The 13,236-nt window shown below is 33.2% G+C and overlaps 1 long non-coding RNA gene across 10 annotated transcripts in view; it reads left to right on the plus strand.

Moving 5' to 3' along the window:
• Positions 1 to 13,236, plus strand: part of LOC124900169 (uncharacterized) — a 109,752-nt gene that overhangs the window by 34,605 nt on the left and 61,911 nt on the right. For 5 of the 10 annotated variants that reach the window (XR_007058346.1, XR_007058339.1, XR_007058338.1 and 2 more), the window contains exon 3: positions 11,244 to 11,312. The exons of the other annotated variants lie outside the window; for them this stretch is intronic. This is a non-coding gene — a long non-coding RNA (uncharacterized LOC124900169). The remainder of the gene's footprint in view (positions 1 to 11,243; positions 11,313 to 13,236) is intronic. 10 annotated transcript variants of the gene reach the window in all.

Consider the following 13,236-nt stretch of genomic DNA (forward strand, 5'->3'; position numbering starts at 1 on the left):
TCTTCCAATGTAAGTTCATTTTACAGAAGACAAAATCATGCTCATTTTATAGAGAAGGGAGACAAAGTTTGAGTAACTTGCCCAAGAAAACACAGCTAACTAGTATTCAACTTTAGTTCTCTTAGACTCTCAAACCCTTGCTCCTTGAACAATTTCATGCTCCCAGAAACAAAATATTTTGTTTGATCAAATAACTGCTAAAGATCAAAGTGTGATAAAACTCTAATACTTTTATAATCTTTATTTAGAGAATTTAAAGAGTTTCTTTATTCCAAAATATCTTTAAATAACTTAGATTGAATAAATTATTTCAGAAAGCTCTCAGTGGTTTGAAGATAGTAGCTAAGATTTCTGCTTCTCTTGACAAAAAAACTATACATCTATTACATTTACCAAAAAAATGCAGTCGTATATACTATTTATCTTCTGAGATGCATCTCTTTCCTTAGAATCAATTCTTTTTAACACCCACTTTATTTTCAGATCATAATTTATTCATTCTAAGCAGTGTTTTAGATTTATTTAGTTGAGAGAGATTATATTTAATGGACATAGATGTGTGAAATGGCACATAACTGCATTTATAAGATCAGAATGTGAACTATGTTAAGCTATCATTAGTCCAGCTTTTTTGACATTTGACTTAGTAATGACAGTATCATTGGTCAGGCAGATAAATATCTTTCCATTGTACAAGGATGTGCTCAGAAGGTAATTTATAGATTCAGTGTCATCCCCATCAAGCTACCAATGACTTACTTCACAGAACTGGAAAAAACTACTTTAAAGTTCATATGGAACCAAAAAAGAGCCTGCATTGCCAAGTCAATCCTAAGCCAAAAGAACAAAGCTGGAGGCATCACGCTACCTGACTTCAAACTATACTGCAAGGCTACAGTAACCAAAACAGCATGGTACTGGTACCAAAACAGAGATATAGACCAATGGAACAGAACAGAGCCCTCAGAAATAACGCATATCTACAACTATCTGATCTTTGACAAACCTGACAAAAACAAGCAACGGGGAAAGGATTCCCTATTTAATAAATAGTGCTGGGAAAACTGGCTAGCCATATGTAGAAAGCAGAAACTGGATCCCTTCCTTACACCTTATACAAAATTAATTCAAGATGGATTAAAGACTTAAATGTTAGACCTGAAACCATAAAAACCCTAGAAGAAAACCTAGGCAATACCATTCAGGACATAGGCATGGGCAAGGACTTCATGTCTAAAACACCAAAAGCAATGGCAACAAAAGCCAAAAATGACAAATGGGATCTAATTAAACTGAAGAGCTTCTACACAGCAAAAGAAACTACCATCAGAGTGAACAGGCAACCTACAGAATGGGAGAAAATTTTTGCAATCTACTCATCTGACAAAGGGCTAATATCCAGAATCTACAATGAACTCAAACAAATTTACAAGAAAAAAACAACCCCATCAACAAGTGGGTGAAGGATATGAACAGACACTTTCAAAAGAAGACATTTATGCAGCCAACAGACACATGAAAAAATGCTCATCATCACTGGCCGTCAGAGAAATGCAAATCAAAACCACAGTGAGATACCATCTCACACCAATTAGAATGGCGATCATTAAAAAGTCAGGAAACAACAGGTGCTGGAGAGGATGTGGAGAAATAGGAACACTTTTACACTGTTGGTGGGACCGTAAACTAGTTCAACCATTGTGGGAGTCAGTGTGGCAATTCCTCAGGGATCTAGAACTAGAAATACCATTTGTCCAGCCATCCCATTACTGGGTCTATACCCAAAGGATTATAAATCATGCTGCTATAAAGACACATGCACGCGTATGTTTATTGAGGCACTATTCACAATAGCAAAGACTTGGAACCAACCCAAATGTCCAACAATGATAGACTGGATTAAGAAAATGTGGCACATATACACCATGGAATACTATGCAGCCATAAAAAAGGATGAGTTCATGTCCTTTGTAGGGACATGGATGAAGCTGGAAACCATCATTCTCAGCAAACTATCGCAAGGACAAAAAACCAAACACTGCATGTTGTCACTCATAGGTGGGAATTGAACAATGAGAACACATGGACACAGGAAGGGGAACATCACACACCTGGGCCTGTTGTGGCATGGGGGGAGCGGGGAGGGATAGCATTAGGAGAAATACCGAAAGTAAATGACCAGTTAATGGGTGCAGCACACCAACATGGCACATGTATACATATGTAACAAACCTGCACGTTGTGCACATGTACCCTAAAACTTAAAGTATAATAATAAAAAAAAAAAGACCTGCTGTGAACTTGTCAGTGATGTAATTTAAATGTATAAGAAGTCAAAATAAGTTATTATTCCTTTTAAGGGACTTTCTAATATCCTTCATTCTTTAATTTTTGCATTTTTTCATTTATTTTTAAAAATAATTTTTTCATTAAAAGTAGGAACAGATTTTATGTTAAAATAAGTGATGCTGTTTTTCTCTCCAATGTTTAGCTTTGGAAGGTAGGGAAGTGTAAGCTCAAAGAGCAAAGAGGTCTATTCCTTCTTCCTTATTTTTTTTTTTCCTAGAGATGTGATCTCTCTTTGTTGTGCAGGTTGGACTTGAACTCCTAGGCTCTGGCCTTAGCTGCCCAAGTAGTTGGGACTACAGGCATGCACTATTGTACCTAGCTCAGTCTTTTGTTAATAAGATCTTCTCTCCTGTTTTATTTCGTTACCTGTTAAGAGTTGAGGGAGGAGCACACTAATTTCCCTATGTACAATACATGGGGAGACTTAGTTAGGGGTAAAATATTAATTTCCCATAGAAAGTAGGGAGAAACCTTAGTTGGGGGATAAGTCCACAGACTATCTTTGGTTTCATGACATTGATTAATATTAATTGGTATATATATATATATATATAGTTACTTACTCTTCCAAGATGGCAGTTTTCTTAAATTTGAGGTTTTCATTGTTTATCTTAAACTCCAGGTGTATACTTTGGTACTACAATTATAAAGCATCATAGAAGGGAAGTTTAGTTTGGATTTTGAAATGTTAATACAGGAACATATCTGCATGATACTCAAGATGATGTATTTTTTAGACATGATATGCAAATGGCAGAAAACATCAAATTTAAGCATTTTTTAACAGTGTAATGAAATTTTTTCTTTTGTCCTTTTACTTTAACACAGGCTTTTGAAAGCTACAAAGCAATATTGTTTCAAATAGTAAAGTGTCAGCTAAAAAAGCTGACTAATAGAAAGTTAAAATAAAATTTTATTAATTTTCTATTAATAATCTAAAAATATGTTAATTGGGACTTTTTTATTTCAAGTGACAGAAGCTTAAACTAGCATAAACAAAAAAGGCTGGCAGTCACGTGAACATAAATACACATAATATTTGGATCATATTGTGTACCATTTTTGCATCTTTTAAAAAATTTTAACATTAGGAGTATTTCTTCATGATTACATACTCTTTAACATTATTTCAAAAGCGCTTCATAGCATTTCATTGAACACATATATCAAAGTGTATGTAACCATCCTACTCTTGTTAGACATTAGATTGCTTCCAATACACTGTTTCCAAATTCTCTGCCCAAGTAGAACAAAAAGCGTGATTTTCCAATCACTTAAACAGCAGTGAAATTTGAAGCCACAGAATATTTGTCTGAATTCAGAAATAACACTCAAAGGCAGCTGTAATTAGTTATGTAGTATTTAGCTAGTGAATTTTTTTTTTTTTTCCCCTTGAGACAGAGTCTCGCTCTTTTGCCAGACTGGAGTGCAGTGGCATGATCTCGGCTCACGGCAACCTCTGCCTTCCTGGTTCTCCTGCCTCAGCCTCCTGAGTAACTGGGACTACAGGCGCCTGCCACCATGCCCAGCTAATGTTTTGTATTTTAAGTAGAGACGGGGTTTCGCCGTGTTGGCCAGGATGGTTTTGATCTCCTGACTTCATGATCCGCCTGCCTCGGCCTCCCAAAGTGCTAAGATTACAGGCATGAGCCACTGCACCCGGCCACTAGTGAATATTTTCAATTGTTTATTAAATTCAGTGGGACTCAAAAATAGTTTTTAAAGAACACATTTCTTATAATGAACTTTAAGTCTCAATTTACTTTTGGTTTTTGTTTTGGGCTTTTGTCAGTTTGCATTGTGCCAGCCTTTCAAATTTTCTGCATATAATTTTAACCAGTATCAATAACATTTATGCTAAAGTTTGCAGTTACACTTTTAGAGCCATGAGTTACTTGAAATTTTGCTATAGATGTATTCTCTATATATGCCTTTATTAAAAAATAAAGCCACATAGGATTAAAACAGTTTTTAATTGTATTTTTCTAATTTTCTACAATGAAATTATGTTTCTATTATAATCTCCCACAGTTTTTTCAAATCTCTATTTTATCTCTGTAAATATCATTATTATTTCATTATTTAAGAAAACATAATTATTGATTTATATATTTAGAATAGTTTTTGTTTATTTAAAAAAGCTTCTCATGTACAGTAGTATGATCCATTCTAGGGCATGTTATTCCTATGTAATCTCATTGTTTATATTTGTAAGCTTTGACAATTTTAAATTGTTTATTAAAGTTAGTTTTGACTCAAAAATGGTTCAGGCGAATGCTTGTTACCATGATGGTTTCAGAGCAACTGCAGTCTGCATGATAGGAGAGCCCCAAAGCAATGGAAAAGGAAATGAGAACAGCTGAAAGTATTTTTTAAAGGTGTGTATGTGAAGCAAAAAGACCGAACGTCCAGTCTAGCTAATTGTTTTTTTTTATGGACAGGGTCTTGCTGTGTTGCCCAGGTTGCACTGAAACTCCTGGGCTCAAATGATCCTCCCATCTAAGCCTTCTGAGTAGCTGGGACTAACTAAATTTAAAGTGTCATAGTGATCAAATTATTTGACAAAAGTCATTATTACAGTCAATGTTTTCTCCCAGAGTATTTATGTATTCACTCAGCACATTATACATTAAGCAACAGGTACTACTGGCAATACAAATGAGCCCTATACTAACAACTTTACAGTTTAGTAACGCACAGACCTAGAAAAAAGTTAAGTATTAGGAAAGTTTTATAGATGCCAAGTTTTACCAGAAAAACCTGTACATTTTTTGTCTTGACTTAGAGATTATGTTCAGAAAGGTAACATAATGTACACAGGTGGTGGAATCAGAACTAACAGACCTATTTGCCACTTACATGTTACATCCAACTGTTTGGTGTCTGGAGAGCTCTTCATTTGTTTTAGACACTTCTCTTTTTCTTAAAAATATCCAGATAAAGAAATTTTGTATTATTTCTGTAACCAAATTGAATTATATCATGTATTTAAAGTATGTTATAGAGTTAATCAAGAAAACCTAGGTTTAAAAAGGCAAGCCCTATTAATAAAAATAAGTGTTGGTGAGAGATATTTAAAAAATTCTATTTTTTCTTTATATGAAAAGAGACTCATATCAAATCATGTCATTTTTTTTCAAAAATGAACATCATAAAACATTTAATAATACAAAAAAATGTAAACAGGAAAATAAATGAAAACAGTCTTTGATCTCATCACTCAGTAGAGAATCAAAGTGTTTTTAAATTCAAGATAATCACAGTTGAATGTTTAAGACTATCTATATCGTTAATTCATACATTCAGTCATTTATTCTTTTAACTAACATTATTGAGTGCCTTGCTACATGGCAATCCCTTCTAGGCCCTTGGTATATAGTTCTGAGCAGGACACACAAGGTACCTAACCTCTTGGGATGTAGTGAGTGGATAGAAATTATACTAATAACCTCACAAACAAAGAATTGCAAAATACTTTGAGGAAAAATTAAAGGATGCTGTGAAAAAGAATAATAGGGGAACATAATTTAATTTGGCAGCAAAGTAAGGCTTTACCTAAGTAATTTTTTTTTGAAAACAGAGAAACCTGAAAGATGAGTATGAGTTACCTTCTTAGGCACTTAAAATAAAATAAAAGCAATGAAAACATAGGTATATGTCACAATATATGACATTTATTCTTGAGTAAATATTGTTGAATCAATAAATACCTCTTCCAAAACATGAGAAAACAAAGTAAGTGTTAAAAGAGAAAGCATAAAACAAGATGTCTCAAGTTAAATCAAAATTAGAATAGTGGAAATAAACAAATACTATAATACTGCAAGACAGATAGTGTCTTGCAGTTGATTAAAATCAGAGCCCAACTAAGTGCTGGGAAGCACATTGAAACAAAAAAGTGCAGGAAAGTTGAAAAAAAAACCAGAATGGGCACGGAACAAGAAGAAAAAGGCAGAGGAGCAAGAAAAGGAGGAGGAGGAGGAGAATGGGAGGGGGAAAAATAGTGGAGATGGAGATGGTATTAATAGTGTGAAGGGAAAATAAATTTTGGGACCCCAAAATCACTAAGCTAAAGGGAAAAGTCAGGCTGGGAACTGTTTAGGACAATCGGACTGTGTCACAGGCATATCCTTAACTTTGGCAACATAAACTTCCTAAACTGGCTGAGACTTGTCTCAGATATTTTGCGTTAACAATAGTAAAGCTGGATTCAAGTGGCGTAAAATATTCACAATGAAGATAACGTGGTCATGCATTTTCATGTGCCAAATAACATAGCACAGAGGCACTTAAGTCAGATCTATTAGATACCTAAAGAGAAACGAAGAGAAATACAATTACTATGGAAGATTTTTACCATATCTTAATATTTTATCAAGTTGATTTTTAACAGGACACAAAATATTAGAATAATATAATAGTATTGAATTCATAGCTGCAGATAGAACATTCCCCCATCAAACCAAGCATACACCTTGTTTCCAAGTATCCTCAAAACTACCTTAATTCTTTTCAGAAAGCAGATATTTTATAGACCCCTTTTTTGGCCATGTGTAGTACAACAAATTAATAATTAAACCTTAAGCAACAACAAAAATAAATTCTAATCCTTTATAGATATAAAAAGCGCTGGCATATGTAACTATTGGATCAAAGGGGAAATGTTCAATTTTAGACTAATGACAAAATAAGGATATTGAGTCTATGACATATCAAATGTGGTTTGAAGCTAAAACTATACTAGAATATAACTTATAAGCCTTAAATGATTTAGATTGCCCTGTTGCTTTAACTGTAATTGTTATTGAGATCCAAAATGGGTAAACTCTATCAGGAACCCAAACTAAGGGAATGTTAGAATTGATCTACCACACATTCATGGATATATTTTATTACATATACTTTGGTGCAGAACTAGTGTTACGTTTCAAGAAGCTGGTTTAGATTATAGTGAGGTTCACATTCAGATTTTAGGATCTGAAAAAACATATGTGGCATAAGCTACAATAAATTTAAATGGAGTAAGCAGAACAGATTTCTTATTCCAGTATAAATGAATGTGTTGGCATATTGTTAATCACTTATGTATAAAAATACTTATTGTACAGGCCAACCCAGTTAAGGTTTAATGGGTTATACATTTTGGACTACTTCTATTTCACAGTGTGTATTTTTTAAAAGGTCTATATTTCTATGACAAGTTTATTTTATATATATATATATACAGTGTGTGTATTTTAAAAGATCTGTATTTCTATGACAAGTTTGAATTTTATATTTGTCTATGGCAAACCATATTTTGTAGAATGTCCCCTACCTACTTTTTGAAAATACCAACTTCCATAGGATAAACAATAGAAGATCATTTGTACAATTGGCAGTTTCTGGTGTTTAATAAACAAGGGTTTATGCTTCAATTCAGTGATTTAGGAGATATGATGTTGAAGGCTTAGAGAAAATAATAAAAATTAATACCATTCTATATCCATCACATCAGGAACAAGAAAGTCTCTTTTCATTCTATTCTCTTCCTTTCTTGCTCCACCTTTATATTTGTGCTATGTTCAAGCACTGGGGTGTCACGTATGTGATTTTCTTAAAAAATTCTTAAGGAACTGTGAATCTTTAAATTTTCAACTTCTACTTCTTAATATATGCTGTTCTTTATCAGTAAAAACAGAAGTAATATTCTATTTTTGCTGAAAGTTTTCTAGCTTTTCACTAGAAAAGGGATCAAATATTCAGAATTAAGATTTTTTTTGCTTATCTTAAAAAAAATTTTTAACTATAAAGCATGTCTTAATCTATTGTGACTACCCATTAAAAATTAATTTCATTAATCTAGTTTAATTTGAGGCTTTTTGAGATTACTTTAAAAATATAAATGAGAGAATTAAAGTATAATCAATATCTTATTAAATTATGGATAATAAATTTGACCTTGTCTAGGTAGTTTCTTTCCTCTATCCATATATTTATTCCTAGCAGCATTATTACACATCTTGTATTACTTATAAGCTTTCTATTCACATCTTTTATCTGTTTGAATATTTTTTAGAACTTTTAATGCCAGTAATCATATTCACGAAGGTTTGGTCATCTTACTAATTCTGGGATTATTTATAGACATTTTGGTCTATAGTGATTATTTTCATTTAATAAATGTTAATCAAAGATAGGAAAATGTTTATAAATAACAATGACAACAATAACAATAACAATTAACACTTAAAATTTATATGTATTGAATACCAGCTTAAGTTGCTGAAAGTAACAGAGGTAGAAATTTGCTTTTAAAATAAACCATTAGCTCAATTCCTAGAAACAGGTGTTAACTAAAGCCATTGTTTTCTTGACTCGAGGTACAGTATGTGATGACTTTTCCTTAAATTGCATAAATAGGAATACTTGCAGTGCAGAGTTAATTACCTTCACCTGGTTGATCGTGTGCTCTGTTTTAATGGAATGAAAAGAGACTTTCCTGTTCCTGATGTGATGGATATAGAATGTTATTAATTTTTATTATTTTCTCTAAGCCTTCAACATCATATCCCCTAAATCACTGAATTGAAGCATAAACCCTTGTTTATTAAACACCAGAAACTGCCAATTGTGTAAATGATCTTCTATTGTTTATCCTGTGGAAGTTGATATTTTTAAAATGTAGGTAGGGGACATTCTACAAATATCTGACTGGTATTTCTCAAAACTAAACTGGTATCAATGCATATAATTTAAGTAAGTTCTAAACAAAAGTTAATTTGAATAACATTTTACTAAAGTAATTTTTATGGCTTTTGTGAAGCAGTTTACATTGGTATATGGTTTGCACTAGACAAAAGTGGGTGAATGTTAAAAGGGAAAGGGTTAGAAAGAGGGAAGATCACTTTGTCCTAGTTTCAAGTATCAAAATCCAGAAGTGATTTCTGTAAAAAAATAATAATAATTATGCTCTTATAGCATAATAACAAACATTATTATTAAAAAACAAATTAACACTAATTGAGGGATTAGTATGTGGCAGGCGCTATTGTTAAGTGTTTTATTTGTGTTAAGTCATTTAGTGCCCTGACAACTTTCTTTTAGGTAGGTTCTGTTCGTAGTTCCTTTTAAAGATGAGAAAAGAGGCGTAGAGAGATTGAGTCCTACATATATACATGAGGTTATACCTAAGTCATACATAAGATGTTGCAGCTAACGAGGGACAGGGCCAGATATTGAATCCCCTACAGTCTAGTTCCATTTATCACAAAATTCATTTAGTGTAAAGAATCAATTAAAAATATATAAAACTGTCGTAGCTGAATTATGAAAGCTTGAATAACATGAAAAGATCATTTATTAAATTTTAGAAGAGAATAAAATTAAAATAATGTATTTTAGAGTCCTAGATATATTAAAGTAAAAATAACTCAAGTATCTTTATTGAGACGTTTTTCTATTTAGAAAATTTACTCTTCTATATAAAAATAAACTCAACAAACTATTGGCTAAATATTTTACTTCAAAACACTTTTTGGAGAAAGGCTTCTTGTTTTCATAATTTTTGCAATCTGTTATTAATTTTATTTATCAAGCTCTAAAAATGACAAGAACTTCTTGTGTTTTATTTTGTAGACTAGTGTGTGGTAAGGTCAAGACATAAACTTAGGGACTATTTAGAATTATATGGGAAATTTTAGATGCTTGATAAAATCCAGAAACAGAAACCAGGCGTCACAGTGCGGATATTTCTCTATACACAGGAATATGTGCTCTGTTAGTTGCCTGGCAGTGTAATTGCCATATTTTAATTCACTAAATTAAAATTAGTAAATATTGAACTTAAAATGAAAGGTTATTTATTATGAAAGCAACTTATTGTATCTTGTAAGTTTCTCTTTATTAAACATGCTTGAAAACATTACCTATGTCTATTTTTCATGGTCTGACTATAAACTCCAATTTAGTCACATAATTAAATTGTCAAATGGATTCTTTAAGTTGGATTTTGAGAGAGAGTGAGTGACAATAAACATGATGGGAAAGGTATTAATTTACTTTGATTATTGGTCTGATTAAAATAACTATATCTCATATTTGTACTTGAAGAAGTGTTTCACATCTGATGGAACATTTTTTTTCATCATAATAGCTCTAAGAAGCACTTAGGAAGCTGATATGATCTGTGTTTTGCCGAAAAGGCAAATTAAGTTATGAAGAAATGAACTGACTTAATTAAGGACAAGCAGGTATTTAGAATAAGAAGCAGAACTAGACCTTAGACTTCCACTCCTTTCCAGAGACTTTCCAAATGACTGCACATTTCAAAGGTGATTGACAAGTTCTTAAAATTTTCAAATTAGATACTTTAATGTACATATTTATACCATAAGTCTGTTTCAAACTAGGAGAACTGATTTATTCTATAATAAGCTATCTATTTACTACAGACCATCTTTGTTGCAGATACTCTATAGAGGAAATAGAGCTGTCTCAGTTACATACATATCATTTAAAATCAGCAGTCATATGAAACAAAGCAATGGGTATCAGTTAAATAAAAGAGTAAAAAACAAAGGAATTTTACAAATATAATTTATATGATTTTTTTCTAGCTTTCATTATTGTGTGTCAAGTTGTATTCCTAAGATAAAATTAATTATTATTAATTTATGAGGGACCAAAAGGGTTATCCTCTGTTTTCAGTAAGTTGTTTATCTTGTGTGTACATGTGTGGCATAATTACAAAAATTTATAACCTTCTCATAGTAATCATACAAACTAGATGACCCAGAAAAAAATGCTCTTTCATGGTATGCAAATACAAATTTGTGCCTTATTTTGAGGTATGCTCTTGTTAGTTTCTATTCTTTGTTATTACGGTCCTTTAGAAGGTGTCTTTTGTCTTTCAGTCCATCATAAACAGAAGATGGCAGTGGAAATCTTTTCTAGAGAAACTGCACTAGCAGGGACTGGAATGGGTAACTACACATATTTTTACAGTTACAACTCTAAGAGTCTCTACTTTTTCTCACCATCATCAGTTATGATACTCATTAGTTAGCCCTTCTGAACTTGGCAATGTGTGCTAAATACATGGGTTATGCAATACTCATAACCTGCTGCCTGTGAGCATGTTAATACCTTTAAGCATTTGTCAAGAATATACCCATTTTTGTAATATTTATTTCAAGTTTATCAAGTGCTGACATTAATTATGGCAGTATATGTTTGTAGATTCTGTGTAAGCTGAATTGTGAATTTAGGGTGATGATCCCAGACAGAAAAAAACCTGGTAAAGTTCACTTTGGTTTCCTCTGCCCCACCTGCATCCCCATCCTATGTTCCAGTTTCCTCTACATTAGGATCCCATGTCCCCGCAAGCCTCTCTTCCTTCCTAGTGCCCTCTAAAGAGGTCTCATGTGTCCTGGGCTGTGCAGCCCTAGGCACACTGGGCCCTTTACCACAGTGCCCTTGCTTTCCCCACACTGCCCTTGCTTTCCGCACACTACAACTGAAATGGACTTGATTTGGATCTGATCATTAAAGGACCAGGCCTCTCAAGGCTTCAGTTCAGTTTATCCAATGAACTAATTTTTCACTGGACTATAACATTCGATATACCTCAAGCTTCCATGTTTAAATACGGAGAGGTTGAGGCTTAGAGAGGTGAAGTGGGGGATGGGAGAAGGCAGGAACCCTACTCTGACTCCTATAAAGAGAAGTAAAATTTCCTAGAAATACTGGTGCCAGGGGAAAATTTCTGTTCTGTTTCCACTTCCCTCTTCCTCTCCCGATGATTAAAAATGGAGAGAGAAATCGAATGTTGGCTAAAATATAGTTAAAATACAAAATAATATTACATTTTAAAATTAAAACAAGAACCACGTTATAGAAAGAGCAGAGGCATATTAACTGTAAAGCTAGTGAAATTTAAACTCCAGGCCCCTCATTGGTGTGGTCCCCTTCCAAGGCCTTACCATTGTGCTCACACAGTCAAGATGTTTTTGTAAGTTTTCTAAGAATAAGATATTTTATCTGCAGTTTTTAACAAAGCTTCCATAACTTGTATTAGCTTCAGGCCTCACAAAAACCTGGATCTATTCTATTTATGGTTAATACTGAGTCTAGTTAACATAATTTTCAATGTTGAGGAAGTTACCAAACTTTTTAAAGTCTCAGTTTCTTTGTGTCTGAAATGAGAAGAATAATAATCATGCTTGCTCAGATGCATGTAGGTTTGTGGGGTTGTAAAAGAAAGACAGCAGGGAGAAGGGGACAAGAGGAAGGAAGAAGGATGGAAAGGGACAGGGGAGAGAATGTGAAAGTATGTTTTGAGCTACAAAGCAATATACATGAGCAAAATACAAAGTGATCTTAATGAAATATTTCTGCAGCATGTGACCTCCTCCTGTCTCTTCTTAGCATATTACCCATCGTTTTACTTTTTAATTGATGATTTAGGATTGCTCTGTTGAGCACATGAAATGGATAGATTAATTCTCCCTTTAATGTCCATTATTCTGCAGGTCTGAGAAAAATAAACCCCCACTTTGTTTAAGTCACTGGGGGTTTTATGTGGTTGGTTGGTTGGTTTTTCAGTTTTTGACGTAGTTAAAAATAATCTAAATGATACTGATTTTGGGAAGGAATTTGGGAACTCTGCGTACAAAGAATTATTTTCGAAATCCTATTAAACATTTTCATGCTGGACCAAATTTTTCTTACTCTTTCTTCTAACAGAACATTTGCAGCACGTTGTCTGCTTTCCGAGGGGCAGGGTGGGACAGTTTGACACACTTTGATGTTACTGCATCACAAGAGTTACAGCTTTCTGGTTTCCAATATTTGTATCTTTTCTCAAATCCCCACCTCCTTCAGTAATCCGTTCTACATTTCAGGTGG

Source organism: Homo sapiens, chromosome 4, assembly GCF_000001405.40.
Source record: "Homo sapiens chromosome 4, GRCh38.p14 Primary Assembly".
Classification (NCBI taxonomy): domain Eukaryota; kingdom Metazoa; phylum Chordata; class Mammalia; order Primates; family Hominidae; genus Homo; species Homo sapiens.